The 18,412-nt window shown below is 41.7% G+C and overlaps 1 protein-coding gene and 1 long non-coding RNA gene across 7 annotated transcripts in view, besides 1 other annotated feature; one reads left to right on the top strand and one right to left on the bottom strand.

Moving 5' to 3' along the window:
* PLS1 (plastin 1) overlaps positions 1-16,750 on the bottom strand; it is a 117,272-nt gene extending 100,522 nt beyond the window's left edge. For 5 of the 6 annotated variants that reach the window (XM_047448323.1, XM_047448324.1, XM_011512901.2 and 2 more), the window contains exon 1: positions 16,634-16,750. The gene's annotated coding sequence lies outside the window, so the exon portion shown is untranslated. Of the gene's footprint in view, positions 1-15,794; positions 15,907-16,633 lie in introns of all 6 variants that reach the window. The other variant, XM_011512903.3, reaches the window with a different exon arrangement.
* Positions 1-17,234, top strand: part of PLS1-AS1 (PLS1 antisense RNA 1) — a 60,902-nt gene extending 43,668 nt beyond the window's left edge. Inside the window, exons 3-4 of the long non-coding RNA XR_001740938.2 lie at positions 12,397-12,615; positions 15,846-17,234. This is a non-coding gene — a long non-coding RNA (PLS1 antisense RNA 1). The remainder of the gene's footprint in view (positions 1-12,396; positions 12,616-15,845) is intronic.
* Positions 16,455-16,694: an enhancer, noted in NCBI's record as "active region_20645". NCBI's record gives its function as "activates an Ori minimal core promoter by ATAC-STARR-seq in GM12878 lymphoblastoid cells {active_cell/tissue: GM12878}" and the evidence as "EXISTENCE:reporter gene assay evidence [ECO:0000049][PMID:35858748]".
* Positions 17,235-18,412: the final 1,178 nt, after the last annotated feature.

The raw sequence follows: 18,412 nt of genomic DNA, 5'->3' as shown, positions 1-18,412 counted from the left end.
TCTTCTCAGACTTTCCAGGATGAGAATAGATTCTTTAGTCCTTTTCTCCTGGTTCAACATAAAACAGACTGAAAATTGGCCGGGCACGGTGGCTCACGCCTGTAATCCCAGCACTTTGGGAGGCGGAGGCAGGCAGATCACCTGAGGTTGGGAGTTCGAGACCAGCCTTGTCAACATGGGTGAAACCCCATCTCTACTGAAAATACAAAAATTAGTTAGGTGTGGTGGTACATGCCTGTAATCCCGGCTACTCAGGAGGCTGAGGCAGGAGAACATCCAGGAGGCAGAAGTTGGAGTGAGCCAAGATTGTGCCACCACACTCCGGCCTGGGTGACAGACTGATACTCTGTCTCAAAAAAAAATAAAAATTAAATATAAAACAGGCTCAAAGTTAAATAAGGGATTTTTTTTTTCTTTTTTTGAGACAGGGTCTTGCTGTATTGACCAGGCTAGACTCCAGCTCCTGGGCTCCAACTGATCCTCCCACCTCAGCCTCTTCAGTAGCTAGGAGTATAGGTGCACAACACCACAACTGGCTGGTGAAGGGAAATTTTAAATAGTCCACTAGGAATCTTTCAGTTGTGTTTACTTGAGATCTAACCTTTTCTACTGATCCAACTAAAGTAACATGAAGGTAGGACTAAGGCTATATCTACAGTGGAATGAGCCACCGGGATGATGAACAATGATCCCTTTGGAATATGATTTGCAGGTCACAAAGCACTTTCACATCACTTATCACATATAACAGAGCATTCTCTAAACCTTATATACAAATACAATGTACCTGTATTACAATTTTGGCACTGGACACATCATTACACTGTAAATCCAGCCCTGCCCCGATTATCAGTGTTAATTAAGTTCAGAAAAGGGAAACATCCCAGCATGCTGTTTATCCTGAGTTAGAGTTGGAGTTGATCATCTTTTCTCATGGACAGAAACAAGTTAAAGTTAAACCAGTGAGAACTATTAAAGCACTTATTTGCTAAATTCCTCTTTCAATGATGTACTTGTTTCTTAGGAAAAATAATTTTTTAATCTTTACTTCTATTTTCTTACATCGTAATAAAAAAATGGCCTAATGACTTTTGCACATATATTTCAGTACCTAGAGAAGCATAATATGTCATTGAGAGCGCTGGTTTTAGAGTTAGAATTCTTGAGAATGTCTGCTTCTACTAACTATATCACCTTAAACAAGTCATTTAACCTTTCTGAGTCTTGGTTTCACAGCTAAAAAGTTAAGAAGATAATAATACCAACTTCATACAGTTTCAGGGAGGCTTAATTAAAACAAATAGCAAAAGGCTTAGAAAAAGGCCTAATATATGTAATAGTAAATGCCCAATAGATATTAGGTATTATTTTCAATATTGGTGATTCATGATTATCATAAAATCAATGGTCCTCAAAAGCAATATGTGTGTGCGCTTATGTATATAGTATGTACATACTATATAACACTACATACATACTATATATAATACTATATACGTACTATTTTTAAAAAATTTTGGGGAGACAAGGTATTGCTCTGTTGCCAAGGTTGCAGTACAGTGGTACAATCATGGCTAACTGCAGCCTCAAACTCCTGGGCTCAAGTGGCCTTCCTGTCTCAGCCTCCTGAGTAGCTAAGACTACAGGCACATGCCACAATATCTGGCTAATTTTTAAATTTTTTGTAGAGACAAGATCTCACTATGTAGCCCAGGCTGGTCTTGAATTCTTGGCCTCAGATGATCCTCCCACCTCGGCCTCTCAAAGTGTTGGGATTACAGACATGAGCCACCATGCTTGACCAATTTAAGTAATTATTAAGGCAGTTCACTATGTATTTGTGAGAATAAAATAACACAGAGCTCATTCTAGACCAGGGGTTGACAAACTCAGCCTGAAGGCCAAATCTGGTCCACTGCCTGCTTGCATATAACCTGTGAACTAAAAACAGTTTTTACATTCTTAAACAGCTAAGAGAAAAATCAAAAGAATAATAGTTTGTGACAAGGGAAAATTACAAGAAATTAACATTTCAGTGCCCACAAATAAAGTTTATTGGAAGACAGCTATGCTTATTCGTGAACATATTGTCTATAGCAGCCTTCATGCTACAAGGGCAGAGTTAGGTAGCAGAGACAGAGACCACATGAAACACAAAGCCTAAAATATTTATTACTTGGCCCCTTACAGAAAAAGTTTGCCAACTTCTGGTCTAGACTGTTAGCTCTACAATGGTAGAGACAGATGAGGCCTAGCTCAGTGCCTGGGCCCAAAATTGTGTTCAGCTTTTTGATGAATGAATGTGGAATCAACATGAAAAGCCTGAGATGGGGCTCCTCATATGTGGTAAAGATAGTTGTGCTCAAACAACCAAGAGCCTTTTTGAAAACTGAGTAAGAGAGGACTGCCCCAGTCTGTGTGGCCCAGCGAGAGTCTTTGTCATCCTATCATTCTAATGGTGGAATTTGAGGCCACACTGAAGAGAGTAGGGAAAGGGGACATCAAAAGGACAAACTAACAAGAGAATTCTACATTCATCAAATATATCCATTTTAAGACAATATTAGAATCACAAAAACACAGGAAAATTCATTTGGGAAAAAATTATATTAAAAAAACATCCTATGGGCTTAGTTCACCTTAAGCTTATTTTTAGATATGGCTGCTTAAAAGGTTTACAAAGTCTTAAGCTGCTATATTTAAGTATGATCCGAATCACAGTAAATGTTAGATCTTACTGTACTCTGTGCTAGTTAGACAATATCCACAGTGTCACATTCAACCTACGGAGCATTATTTTTAAGGTAATTTAGTGACAATCTGGTTTCTAGAGGGGAGCTATCTGCACGGTGATGGGTCTAATCTAGGCACCATTCAAACAAGGCAAGTTGATGGAACTGGAGAATATTTACCATAGAGATGAAACTGCACTGCCCAATCTAAATTAACGTAATTCATATAAAACACTTAGAGTACCTGGCACATAGGAGATACTTAATAAATACAAGCTTTGTGGGAGGCCGAGGCGGATGGATCAACTGAGGTCAGGAATTCGAGATCAGCTTGGCCAACATGGTGAAACCCCAGCTCTACTAAAAATACAAAAATTAGCTGGGTATGGTGGCCTGTGCCTGTAATCCCAGCTACTCGCGAGGCTGAGGCAGGAGAATCGTTTGAACCAGGGAGGTGGAGATTGCAGTGAGACAAGATGGCACCACTGCACTCCAGCCTGCGCGAAAGAGCAAGACTCCATCTCAAAATAAATACATACATACATACAAGCTTTGATCATCAGCACCATCAGCTGAAGTATTATAATGTAAAAGAAGCTAACTTTATTGTTATACCCTTAGAAGGTATAACCATATCCACAAATGGAAATCAGGTTGCTAAATCAGCTATACATAAATTATTGCAAATGTTAATAGTTTACGGCAAAATTCACTTACAATTTTTTATCAAGTAATTATCACTAAATATTCAGTCCACTTTTCTATCTCTACAGAAGAGACTTTGGCAAACGATTTAACTGCTTCTGTTGCTCTAAAACCAGGGATGCAAAAGACATTTATTGTTCACTGAATACCTATGTGCTCCCTCTTATTTCTAGGCCCTTGCTATTAAGCAGGGTGATGAGCTTAGTTCTAGCCAACAGGCTGTGAGTCAAAGTGATATTTGTCACTCTAGGCCAAAGCATTTCAGAGCTGTACGTGATCATCCAGTTCCCCTTCCTCTGGTGGGACCACTTGAAAGCCCCATGTTAGGAAAGCAAAGTCACAAAAATCACAGCAGCCTGGATTTCTGAGTCATTGCATATAGGTGAGCTGCCCTGGAGAACAGCCAATAAACACTGACATTTACATGAGCAAGACAGTAATGGAGATGTCACAGTTAATTTGTTACTGCAGCACAGACTACTCTATCCTGACTAATACATAAAGTCTGATATTTTGGTAGTATAGAAAGAAACTTTGTATTAATCTGTGATCAATCATCTTGGGCAGTTTACAAAAATTAGCTGAATAAGCAGGGAAATTTTCCAAACCTTCCTCAGACAACTATCTATGCAACTTTATTATTCCATTTCAAGTGCATTCACACAGTATTACCACATCTACTCCAATTTAAAGATAAATATTTAAAATTAAATCCTCTCTGACACTCACTTATTGAAAAAACTTGAGAAGTAACTAAGACATACATTGAGCAATGTAACTGCTGGCAAACATACTCAGCTAATGTTGTTCTCCCACATAGCTCATTGCCTGCTTTATGACCCTCAGGCTGCATTTTCAGAAGACATGTGGCAGGAATTAGTGCCCCAGGCAAAGCTGGCTTAGTTTCCCTTTGTTAGCAGTCAACAGGTATGCTGTTAACCGGACCAACCAATTTCAGTGGGGCCTTAAACACAGAGACATACTATCTCCTTTGGCTGGCAGTAAAAATATCCAGTAAGATAAGGACTCAAGCCTGTGTCCTTTGATACATTCATGATTTAAAACCACTGGAAACTCTGGAGTCTGGCAGGCAGCAGAGTATAGGCTTCCACAGCCCTGAGTTCAAATCTCATCTCTTCTACTGACAAGCTATGTGAGTCTCAGACCAAATGACACAGCCTCTTTGAGCCTCAGTTCCTACTCCCTTCACAAAGCATTTTGAGAATTACTGGGATTGATGTAGGTGGAAGTACTCAATATACATTGGATGCTTGCTGCCATAGTACTATGGAATTCTAAAAGTTAATGTGAATTTCTATTAACTTTATGTTTTATTACAAGCAAAACAACATTCTCTTAAAGCAGTGAAAAATGTATCTTTGGCTTTACCTTTAGGTTAGATGCTGTCTCATAACAGTCATGAAGATAAACTCCACTACCGAATTTGATCATCTTCCAATGTGATCAAGCTCTTGTTAGGAAAACATATCTTAAGTTAAATGTCTGCTCATCTTCCAGAGGCAACTGAATTTTTAAAATTCCTAAGAGTTTCCCAGCCAGGCATAGTGGGTGGCTCATGCCTATAATAATCCCAGCAGTTTGGGAGGCCAAAGCAGGAGAACTGCCTGAGCCCAGGAGTTTGAGACCAGCATGGGCAACATGGCAGACCCTGTCTCTAAAAATAAATAAAATAGGATAAATTTTAAAAATAAAAATAAATTAAAATAATTTCCCACCAACCACATTCTGCTGATTTCCAATTCTGATCAAGTTGCCCTGAATACTAAAAATCAATGTCACCACAGGCTAATGATAAAAAAAAAAAAATTCAGACAAATTCCAACATAGAGGCATTCCACAATGTACCTGATTGCTATTCCTCAAAACTCTCAAGATCATCAAAAAACAAGGAAAGTCTGAGAAACTGTCACAGCCAAGGGGAGCCTAAGGAGACACAGTAACTAAATGTCATGTGGTATCCTGGATGGGATCCTGGAACAGAAAAGGGATTTTGGCTAAAAACAAAGGAAATATGAATAAGCTAAGGACTTTAGTTAATAATAATATAACAAGATCAGTTCATTAATTATAACAAACATGTCATACTAATTAATGTAAGATGTTAATAATACGGCCGGGAGCAGTGGCTCACGCCTGTAATCCCAGCACTCTGGGAGGCCGAGGCGGGTGGATCATGAGGTCCAGAGATCAAGATCATCCTAGCCAACATGGTGAAACCCGTCTCTACTAAAAATACAAAAATTAGCTGGGCGTGGTGGCACATGCCTGTACCAGCCACTCAGGAGGCTGAGGCAGGAGAATCGCTTGAACCCAGGAGGCAGAGGTTGCAGTGAGCCGAGATCGCACCACTGCACTCCAGCCTGGTGACAAAGCGAGACTCCGTCTCAAAAAATATATATATATATGTTAATAATAGGGTAACAGTATGTCAGTGTGGGAGTATATGGGAGCACTGTTTCATCTGCTTCATTTCTTTGTAAATTTGAAACAGTTCTAAAAGATAAAGTCTATTGGTTTTTTTTTAAGTCACTACAATGTGATACTTACTTCACATGTATTAAAACGGCCATAATTTAAAAGACAGATAATAAAGTGCTGGTGAGGATGTGGACAAACAGGAACTTCCATTCATTGCCGGTAGGAATGTAAAATGGTGCAGCTGCTCCAGAAAACGGTTTGGCAGTTCCTCGAAATGCTAAGTGATATGACCCAGCAATTCCACTTCTAGGTATATGCCCAGAGAAATGAAAATAAATGCCCCTAATAAACCAGTGCACATAAGTTCACAGCAACAATATTCATAATAGCCCAAAAGAAGAAACAACCCCAATGTCTATGAACTGAAGGATGAATACATAAAATGTGATATGTCCACACAATGGCATATTATGCACACCTATGAAAAGAAGTCTTGATATGTGCTACAACATGAATGAACCTTGACATCATTGTGCTAAGTGAAATAAGCCAGACGCAAAAGGCCACATATTATACGATTCCATTTATTTGAAATTTCAAGAATAGGCAAATATATAGACAGAAAGTAGATTTGGCATTGCCTAGGGTAGGGGCAGCTGGGGAGGAGGTAGTAGAAAATGAGGAAAGTGCTAATGAATACAGGGTAATTAAAATATTGTAAAACTGACTATACAGTTTAAATTGGAGAATTGTATGATATTAAGGAAAGTCTGAGAAACTGTCACAGCCAAGAGTAATAAAACTGTTATTTTAAAAACAATGTCATGTGTGCCAAGAATACTGATGAAACATCATTTAATCCTATTCAAAGTGAAGATTTTGACAACGTGTGGTTGATATGAAACCTTTAATTTCTCTGAGAAGTCCCGCTGCTTGCTTTAGTAATACCCTTAATGCCTCAGGACATAACATACTCAAAAAAAAACTGTGCATAAAGAAGTTCTAAATGAATCTTGGTATCCTTTCTAGATTAAATGAGCAACATGCACATCACAAGGTCTTCCTTAAGTGTGCCTGAGATGTGAAATAGCATGCAGACTATTCCCACTGATATTTAATAATACATTAACATGCAAAAATGGGTATCATTGTGTACCCTTTTGTACAATGTTTCAGGATTCAGTTATTTCCTCTGAATTACTAGAAAATTACAATGTTTTGGGTTCTCCCATTATTTATTGTCCTAGTGGTATGAGAAATGCTTATAGTAACCTTGCAGAAATACTTCAATTAAGGCTTAGTCTCCCACAGAACAATATATATCACATAGGGAGAATATAACTTTGTAAAATATTTAGAAAGTTTAATCTTTTATCCTACACATTCCAGATGTACATTAGCAGGAAGTATAAGTTTTAAAACAAAACTACTTTGTTCAAGATGAAAGAGATGGATATTTTCCCATGTTAATCAACTCTTATTTCAAGAACTCATTTTAATGTTAATATGCTCCATAGTTGAGGGTTAGCCATAAAATACATTTAGACTTTTATAAAAATTGCACATAAATTTCATAGAGGAATTATTTCATATGGTCAGTAACAGAAGAAAATATGAATTGACTGCAAGAGCACTAGATTTGGAGCTAGACTGAAGTCCCATGAGGTCAGGAGTTCGAGATCAGCCTGGACAACATGGAGAAACCATGTCTCTACTAGAAATACAAAAATTAGCTGGGCATGGTGGCACATGCCTGTAACCCCAGCTACTGGGGAGGATGAAGCAGGAGAATCACTTGAACCCGGGAGGCGAAAGGTTGCAGTGAGCCAAGATTGTGCCCCTCACTCCAGCCTGAGCAACGGAGCAAGACTCTGTCTCAAAAAAATTAACCCTGACATTTTTTCAAATGTTGAAATTATAAGACACAGTTATGAGTTTAATTTCTGGCAGTTTCAAATCAGGCAACCTCCAGCAGGCAAGTCATTCTCTAAGTCTTGGCCACTTATCAGTGAAAGGAAGTAAAATCAGAAAGCTTTTTTAAACATCAATAAATGCCTTTCCTCTATCTTGTAGTTGACTAGTTACTTTCACATCCACTATCTTGTTTAATTATCAAACCTACAGCTGAAGAGAAGGCCTTCCTTCTCATGGGGTCAGAAACAGAATCACAGACTTTGACTTCTCATCCATGGTTCTGATCATAGGCCAACTGGTTTCAGGTATCTAAACTTTAAATTGCCCTAAGACTCATTTTAATTGACCACTAAACATTCAGAGATTTTCAGATTTCCTTTTTCCACTGATAATAATCTTGAATTTTTTTTTTTTTTTGAGACGGAGTCTTGCTCTGCTGCCCAGGCTGGAGATGCAGTGCCGTGATCTCAGCTCACTGCAAGCTCTGCCTCCCGGGTTCACGCCATTCTCCTGCCTCAGTCTCCTGAGTAGCTGGGACTACAGGCACCCACCACCACGCCTGGCTAATTATTTGTATTTTTTAGTAGAGACGGGGTTTCACCATGTTAGCCAGGATGGTCTCAATATCCTGACCTCGTGATCCGCCTGCCTCGGCCTCCCAAAGTGCTGGGATTACAGGCGTGAGCCACTGCACCTGGCCAATAATCTTGAATTTAATTTGGCTATTTGAGGATAAGAAAGGGATCAAGCAAATTGCTATTATTGTTGTTTTTCCAAAATCAACTCACTTCCATGACAACTTCTGATGAAAAACATTGGGTTTTGGTGAGCTGTGTTTCACAGATGGCACCTCACTGACCTGATTAACACTTAAAATTCCAATAACTAGGTCACTCTTAGAAACATTTCCTTGACCAAAAGGATGTCCCAATGATCTTAAACCTGGGGAGAGGGGAAGGAAAAGGGAGACCGCCAGGAAAGAATTCAGAGTGCTCTCCAGGAAGAGACAGCAGGAGTCTTTGAGAGGTTTTGGTTTATTTACAAAGATTATAAATACTAACTTGATATCAACCTAGAGATTCTACTTGTCTAAACCTTTCCCCCTCTTTTATTCATTCCAAGCAGCCCTTGGTCCAAGGTGTAATTAACAAGACCGATCCTTCCACACACATTTACCAGTGTCTTAAATTCAAATCCAAATTCTATTTTGGCAGTACTGCTAAAATCTCTTATTTCTTAGTTCTCAAAAAAATTGAAGGAGCTTTTGTCATTTTTTTAATATAAACATCTTCTTTCTTGAAACTGGATCTATAAACAATTTAATGTATTGTGTTCCTCAATAATAGAGTAAATCTGATTTCTGCTAATATTTTGGGTCAGTGACACCCCAAAACCTTTTGCTTTTTATCATGAAGAAGCCCCTCAGACACCTTCTACCTTACTAATGTCTCCATCCAATTTACTATCAAGAAAAGACAGTTTCTCCTTTTTTTTTGTGGTCAGCTTGGATCTTTTGAAGGAGGCATGTCTGTGTGCAGTGAGTTATCACCCAGATGTTCTTGTAGGTATTTTTTTTTTTTTTTGAGGCAGGGTTTCACTTTGTCACCCAGGCTAAAGTGCAGTGGCACAATCTCAGGTCACTGCAGCCTCAATCTCCTGGGCTCAAAATGATCCTCCCACCTCAGCCTAAGTAACTGGGACTACAGGCACGCGCCACCATGCCCAGATAATTTTTTTGTAGAGACGATGTTTTGCCATGTTGCCCAGGCTGGTGTTGAACTCTTGAGCTCAAGCGATCCACCTGCCTCAGCCTCCCAAAGTGCTGGGATTATAGGCGTGAGCCACCATGCCCAGCCAGTCTCGTAGTTTTATAGCTGTGAATTGCTCACAAAAGTCAATCATAAAATTTAGTTTATCGTAAAGTCTGAAGTCCCTTCACCACTGGACTTTATGAACAAAGCTATGTCTAACTCTGCTAGGAAATATTTTCTGATGAAACAAGTGTTTTAAGTAAGAAAAAACTCTCCCAATCATCTAACTCCTCACCCTTTCTGTGCCCACAATATTACTATAATAAAAAGCAACGTGCCTTTACAGAAGCCATGCTACATATGTCTCACCAAAAACGGCACATAGGCACTTTCAGACACAGTGCTAAAAAGAAATCAGATGATCAAAGTTGAACAGCCTCACATCTCATGTGACCTTACATGTCAGCAAAGTTTCCAGCAATCAAAATTGTATAACCATTTTATAACCAATAAACCCGTATGCAGCACAAATGTCTCTTTCTCCCCGACGTTCATCATCAGCCAGAGTAAAATGTTAATTCGGAACTGGATGAAGTGACAAGCTTTTGAATGTTGAGAGAATGAGGGCCAGAGGTGGCCTCAGCCTCAACACTTTGGGAGGCTGAGGCGGGCGAGTCACTTGAGGTCAGGAGTTGGCGACCAGCCTGGCCAACATGGTGAAACCCCGACTCTACTAAAAATACAAAAATTAGCCCGGTGAAGCCAGAAGCTGCGGCCCTGCCTTTCATATCCTGGGAACACAGAACCACTCAGGGGAAGGTAAAGCAGAACCAGGAAATGGAAAGAGAGCTCAGGCAGCAAGGGAGGGAAGCACGCTCTCAGCTGAGTTCCATTTTGAGACTCCCAGGAGAGTAAGTTCTCTATGTAATTAGGTTCATCAAGAGGAGGGAGAGGAGCACATTTTCTCACAGGTCAAAGCTGGGGCCTATGGGGTGGGGGGGGCCTTTAAATTATTTGTCTTTGACCTGGGGCCTTTCCTGAGGTATCCACACCCACCTCCAATTAGTCCACAGGGACTTCACAACTCCCCAATCTTAAAAATTGGGGGAGAATGTGTTCACACCTGGATTCTTCCTGGGGGTTTATGGCCATAGTTCAAAGGCCTAAGATTAGAGTCATGATCCATAGATATTCCAGGAGCTTCCAGCAGTGGATCCTGACACCCCAGGGAAAGAAATCCTTATACCTGGTCACTCCAGAGTTCTTAGGCTCCTACACAAGGTGAGCTTCCCAGTTTCCCATTGCCAACTCCACAGACACGCCCTGGATGACCACCAACTCACTCCCCAATCACAGCTCCACCCCAAAAGAGGGTGGGAGCAGATCAGAAGTGGCTTTAATGGTGTACCCAGAGAAAAAGCTGCTGTCCCTTTCTCTAGGAATGCTTCAAGAGAAAAGGAGATAAAGACTAAGTGGAATGAAAAAAAAAAAAAACCGGAACGATTTACCACTGTTGTTTTGGTTTTTTTAAATGTGGCTCAAAGAATGTTGGTGGTTCCACCAGCTGAAACCTGTGGCTATTCTAAGCATCTGTTAGAGTTACCTCAGAAAGAGCTTTGCATTTTTGTTAAGATATTTGATTAAGTTATTTGAGCGCTCAGTGTATAAAGTCAGATAGGCCTGGGGTCAAATCTCAGCTCAGCCACTTGTAAACTATATGACCTCAGATAAATGCTTTTATCTATCTCTCTAAGCCTCAATTTTCTCATCTAGAAAATGAGGGTAGGTCAGGTGCAGTGGTTCATGCCTGTAATCTCAGGGCTTCGGGAAGCTGAGGTGGGAGGATTGCTTGAGGCTAAAAGTTTGAGATCAGCCTAGACAACATAGCAAGACCTTATCACTATAAAAAAATTTTTTTTAATAAGCCGGGCACGTTGGTCCACACCTGGGAGGCTGAGGCGGGAGGACTGCTTGAGCCCAGGAGTTCAAGGTTACAGTGAGTTATGACTGTGCCATTCCACTCCAGATTGGGTGACAGACTGAAACCCTGTTTTTAAAAAATAAAAATTAAAAATAAATGAGTAATTGTTGCACCTATCTCACAGGATGGTTTATAAAGATGAAATGATATATTACTTGTATTTAGTATAGTGCCTGGTTCATGGAAGATATTCTGTAATACTAGTTACTAATATTACTATTATTATTTTAAGAAAGATATTTGTCATTTTACAAAGGGCCATGGTAAATTCTAGGATTTAATATTTGGACATTTAAGTGTATGAGACATTAACTTCAACATACTACCTGATTTTGCATCTGCCTAATCAATTTTCACTAACGTCATCATGAAAAACATATATATATAAAAAATATAGGCCGGGCGCGGTGGCTCATGCTTGTAATCCCAGCACTTTGGGAGGCCAAGGCGGGCGGATCACGAGGTCAGGAGATCGAGACCATCCTGGCTAACACAGTGAAACCCCGTCTCTACTAAAAATAAAAAAAAAATTAGCCGGGCGTGGTGGCGGGTGCCTGTAGTCCCAGCTACTCGGGAGGCTGAGGCAGGAGAATGGCGTGAACCCGGGAGGCGGAGCTTGCAGTGAGCCGAGATTGCGCCACTGCACTCCCGCCTGGGCCACAGAGCGAGACTCCGTCTCAAAAAAAAAAAAAAAAAAAAAAAAATATATATATATATATATATATATATATATATATATATATGAAACCAGGCCAACCCTTCCCTTCCCCACTGCTAGCCATTTCTCAAGCTCATTTGTTCTGTCTCTCCTCTCAACTGCTCTCTCTCTCCTTGACATTTTTAATGGACCATCGTTGCCTGTGGAAATATGAAGATGGTGGTCAACCACAGTGTGCAAGTCAATGGCAAGGATGTGGCATCCAACAGCTCCCTCATCGCTGTGTGCAGCTCAATGGAAAGGCTGTGTTTTGATTTGCAAAATGGCTATGATTTGCAAAATGCAACATCTGTTCCAAGTAAACAAATATTCCAAACCACCTCTTGAACTGGAAGTTTGGATTCAGCAGCACTGCTTTCTGTCTTGTTTTTCCAGGTAGAATCTGATCACAATTGTCTCTCTCTCAGCCTTACCTCACCCCCATGTTCTTGGGTCATAAACACCACCCTTTGGTGCCACCCTCCTGGCCTACCCTCACTGCACCTGGCCTACCCTCTCCAAAGCCATTGCTCACCACCTCCTGGTAGTGTACAATATATCTAGGAAATAGACTCTCAGTCCCAAGGACTTTGGGCCAACCCATTTGTGTCTGCCTCTGACAAGCTAAGCTACCATGACCTTTCCAGACTTCAACTCCCCAGTGTGAAGATTCCTAGGACCCCAGCCTCACTCCCTCCTCACTGTGTACACTCAACCTTGAACTGGCCAGCAGCCTTGTGTTTCACCTCTTCCGATGACACACACATTCTCTCATCGACCACCAAATTTCCCCCTTAGATTGGTTTCTGAGGGCTTTCAGTCCACAGAACATCTTGAACTGGAGTGTCTTGCTACCAACTCAAATTAATCTTGGGAGGCTGAGCATGGTGGCTCAGGCCTGTAATCCTAACACATTGGGAGGCTGAGGCAGGCCAAAGAATTCAAGACCAGCCTGGGAAAAATAGTGAGACCCCATCTCTAAACACAAAAAAATACAAAATTAGCCACGCATGGTGGCACGTGCCTGTGGCCACAGCTACTTGGGAGGCTGAGGTGGGAAGGATCACTTGAGCCCGGGGAGGTCAAGGCTGCAGTGAGCAGTGATCGTGCCACTGCACTCCAGCCTGGGTGACAGAGTGGGACCCTGTCTCAAAAAATAAATAAATAAATAAAAATAATCGTGGGGCCAACAACCTCAAAAAGTAATAGTTAATGAAAAGAGCTTGGGTCTAGTAATGAGGAAATTTGAACAGAGCTTCTGGCTATCCCACTAACTAGCTTAGTTAAGAATATCTGGCCGGGCGCGGTGGCTCACGCCTGTAATCCCAGCACTTTGGGAGGCCGAGGCGGGTGGATCATGAGGTCAGGAGATCGAGACCATCCTGGCTAACAAGGTGAAACCCCGTCTCTACTAAAAATACAAAAAATTAGCCGGGCGCGGTGGCGGGCGCCTGTAGTCCCAGCTACTCGGGAGGCTGAGGCAGGAGAATGGCGTGAACCTGGGAAGCGGAGCTTGCAGTGAGCCGAGATTGCGCCACTGCACTCCAGCCTGGGCGACAGAGCGAGACTCCATCTCAAAAAAAAAAAAAAAAAAAAAAAAGAATATCTGAGTCCCTCCTCTATACAATTAGGGGATAGTCTGGATAAAGCGCTACCATATAGCTCTAAGATCCTAAATGCCCACCCTCCCCATGGCAAAATGCACTTTTTATTTATTTATTTATTTATTTATTTATTTATTTATTCATTCATTCATGTAATAACTATTGAGTGTCTGATACTGCAAAGCAATGTGCCAGGTATTGTGAAGGGTTAAAGGTCATCCTTCAGAGAGCTTATCATCTAGAACGGGAAATAAGACAATTACATCACTAACTAAGAAACAGAGACAATGTCACAATTCGAGGTACTTTTTTTTTTTTTCAGATGCAGTCTTGCACTGTCGCCCATGCTGGAGTGCAGTGGCACAATCTTGGCTCACTGCAAGCTCCGCCTCCCGGGTTCATGCGATTCTCCTGCCTCAGCCTCCCAAGTAGCTGGGACTACAGGCGCCCACCACCATGCCCCCCCAGCTAATTTTTTGTATTTTTAGTAGAGATGGGGTTTCACCGTGTTAGCCAGGATGGTCTCAATCTCCTGACCTTGTGATCCACCCACCTCGGCCTCCCAAAGTGCTGGGATTACAGGCGTGAGCCACCACACCCAGCCAATTGGAGGTACTTTTAAGATAAAAAGAACATTATAAACCCATTACTAACACCCCAACCCTGAAATTCATTTTCAACATGTCTTTCCTTCTCTGCATTTAGTCTTTCACCACATGCTTCTTCCTTTACATTTCTTAATTCTGTGCCCTCTTTTCTCCACTTTGAGTCACAGGCTTAATCCAGGGCCTGGACCAACTGACCCGTGTTTTTACGCCTGTCTCCTGTAATCCCCCTAACTAATCTGTGATCTGTTATCAAAATATGAGGAATCAGAAATGGACTTGGCTGCTGTCTTGATACAGCTCTAACATGGCCTTCCCCATATTATAGAACACACATGAAATCTCTTTACAAAACTATACATACTGCACTTCCTTCCCCCACTCCCTCCCACAAACAGGGGCTAAGAATATACTTTGTGCTTAGTGCTGGGTGGGATGTTTAAGTCATAGGCTTTAACCTCCAAGAGCTTACACAACCTGCCAACTTCCTGGTCGGGAAGTTGGGAGGTGCTAAAATACTCAGGATACTATATACAATGGGGATACTAACAGCACAAACAACAGTAGTAAGTGCTATAGGGTTCAGAAGAGGGAGAGCTACTTCATGCTAAGGCAATCAAGGAAGGCTTCCAAAAAGAGGTCACACCTGAGCTACACCTTGCAGCATGAGCAGGACTTCAATACGGAAAGAGGGAGGCAAACAGGCATTTTGGGCAAAGGGCCCAGGTGACTGAGGGAAGGAAGGAGGGCGTTTTCAGGACCAGCAAATTGTTAGGTGGGGCTTCAGTGAAAGGGCACTTTTTGAAAGGAATTTATGAGGTACTAGGAAGCTTAGTAAGAGAAACAACTAATTTTCTGCTTAAGCCAGACTTCATGGTATAAGTAGAAGAGAAAAAGGAAGTTTAATAATGGAGGTAAAGAAGAGTATCTGCAGGGAGTGGTAAAAAGACCCCAGAAAATGAGAAAACCTGGATCCCAGGCCTAGCTTTGCCAATGAGGGGCTTGGGTGGCCACAGCAAGTCATCTAACCTCGCTGGTCTCAGTTTTCTCATTTGTAAACTGAAGCAGCTGAACTGGCTGACCTCAAAGGTCTCTACAGCCAAAACTAGACCAGCTGTATATTATTTCTGCCATTAAAACATTTATCATGGGAGGAATGAAGGGGGGCAGGATACCTGTATTCCCTTTCCATATAGGTTTCTCTTCCTGAACTTAAAATTTCCTCTTCCTAAACTTACTACCTCTCTCTCTATATATATATATGCCTCCACATTACACATTAACACTTTACTATAGAATTTCATTACATAATTCAACTTAAAGGAAAGCTGATTACAAAGGTGGTGGGGGGTGTAAAAGTACTTGCTTCAAGTTCAGTGTGTGCCCCCTGTCCTGAAATTTTGCTTCTGGCTCACAGGTTCTTCAAGAAATTTATGCAGCACAGCTGAAGCCTCATACAAGTGTATCCAACACCGTGGCTGGAGGGAAAGATATCACGGTATAAGCCATAAAATGTGACATAGTAAGTAAGTAAAGGAGGAAAAGTGAGAATTCTGTTACTCATCTAAACGACCGCTTCCTTTTAATAGTACCAAATGAAGACCGAAATACAGTAATAATTGAAAAGTTAGGGAGAAATCTTAAATTTTTTTAAGTCTCCACTTGAAAATGCAGCTGAAACACGGAAAGTTTTTTGGCAGTGAAATTCGCTGAAAACTGACATTTTTATGCCGCATCCAGAGGTCCCTATGCTCCAGGAAAGGTACCAAAAACAGCACGGATGGGATTTCACTACAGCCCTATTGATCCTATGCACCAAAAGGCCAAAGGCAAATAAACCAGTCCCAGAATTAAAACAAAACAGGCTGGTTCAGAAAGCCTCACCGGCAGCCACCCAAAGTTGAAAGAAGAAAACTTAATGAAATACCTTATTTCATTGCATAGAATCACAATTCAGTTAACAGGCTTATTGTTTAAGCAGTGTAAATACGCGATTTAACACCTGCGGGCACTGCCTGCCGGGACTGGGCAGAAGCGTGCCCAGAGGACGGCGGGCGCCACACTGCACAGCCAGGAGACGAGACGCGAGCGAGGGGACCCGGAGATACTGCCCCCGAGCCGCCGCGCGCCCCCAAAGGAGTAACGCTTCGCTTTCCATCTGTCTGTCCAGCCTTCCTTTTGGGCCCTATCCCCACCCCCGCGTACCTGCCGCCACCGCTGTCCTGCCTTCGAGAGGGCAGCTCCCACTGGAGATCCAAGTACCTGCAGGTCCACTCTGCGGCTACCTCTCCGCGCCCGCGTAGCCGCTGCGCTCGCGCCACTGCGCATGCTCGGCCGGCACCCGGGCCCGCAAACTCTGAATCCACTTGCCGCGTTTTGCCTGCGGCTCCCAGGGGAGGGAAAGGGAAGCCCAGAACCTGGGTTTAGGCTAAGGGTGAAAGAGGAGTTGCAGGCGCTGGGAGCGTGGATGGGGAGAGGTGGACGGGCGCTGCGGCAACGTTATCTCTACCGCCCACAGTTACCCAAGTCTAAAGATGACCACCTACACCCTGGGAATGAGTTTAGCACAGCAGTTCTCAAACTTGAGCGTGGATCAGAATCACCTGGAGAGCTTTTTAAATCACAGATCCCAAACCCGGAAACTGAGTTTCCGATTCAGTTAGGTCTGGAGCGTAGCGCGACAGTTCCCATTTCTAACATGTTCTCAGCGAAAACTGGTGCTACTAGTCTGGGTACCACACTTTGGGACCTGCTGGTCAAAAGGAAAGGTATACGTTATTAAAGGAAGACTTGTTTCTCTCCCCTACTCTTTTTTTTTCCGTTTGTTTCACGGATTGCTTCCTTTTCCTTTAACAGCCACACCTGATTAAAATAAATATATAACTAAAGCCCACACTCAAACAAAAGTGGGATATTTTCTCTCGCATGTGAGTCAGGTAAATGGAATGCTGCCTCAAGAGTTCTCACATACTTTGCCTGAAGCATAATCCGTAGTTGTGGTCTGTCCAACTCAGTCCAGAGAACAGAACAAGGTTTTGCTGCCCCTTTAACTCAAAGTCCCACGTGCCCCTTCTGCGCCTAACACAATATCCAATACAGAATAGGCACCCAACCAACCCTGAGATGGTAACAATAGAAAAAATAAAGGGGGGAAGTTGAAATTATTTTAAGAACTCAAACAAATTGGACGAGCAATGAACTATGAAAGTAGGTGGGCCATGGAGAGGGAAGATAAGGAATTTTTCCCACCTGCCACCTAGAGAATCAGGTGAATTTAGTATTCTTATCTGATTTTTCCCACCTGCCACCTAGAGAATCTGGTAAATTTAGTATCCTTATCTGATACTTATTTATCTAGATATGCAAGGGGAGTTAAGTAAGTTCTCACAAAATAAAGCAAAATATTTCCTTAAAAGGTAAACATACATCTAACATATGACCCAGCCATTTCATTCCTAGATGTTATCCAAGAGAAATTAAAACATATGCTTACACAAAAACTTGAACAGGAATGCTCATAGCAGCTGTTTTTCACAAAAGCCCCAAACCAGAAGGAACCCAACTGTCCAACAACATGTAAATGAAAAAACAAATTGTGGTATATTTATACAATGCAATACTACTCAACAATAAAAAAGAAGAAATACTCTCACACAGGACTCAATATGGATAACTCTCAAAATCGGTATGCTGAGTTGAAGAAGCTAGAGACAAAACATATTGTATAATCCCACTTATATGAAGTACAAACTAACCTATAATGACAAAACCCAGATTAGTAATTGCCTGGAGCCAGGAGTGGAGGGAAGGATAAACTGCAAATGAGCAGAAAAAATATTTTTGGAGGGGGACGATGGAAATTTTCTCTGTTTTGATGGTAGTGACAAGTTCACAGGTGTATACAACTGTCATCGCTAAGTTGTACACTTTAAACATGAAAAATGTGTGTAAATTATTCACCAATAAGTTTGATAAGAGAACACT

This window comes from Homo sapiens, chromosome 3 (assembly GCF_000001405.40).
Source record: "Homo sapiens chromosome 3, GRCh38.p14 Primary Assembly".
Classification (NCBI taxonomy): domain Eukaryota; kingdom Metazoa; phylum Chordata; class Mammalia; order Primates; family Hominidae; genus Homo; species Homo sapiens.
This window is presented reverse-complemented; position numbering and strand designations above follow the sequence as displayed.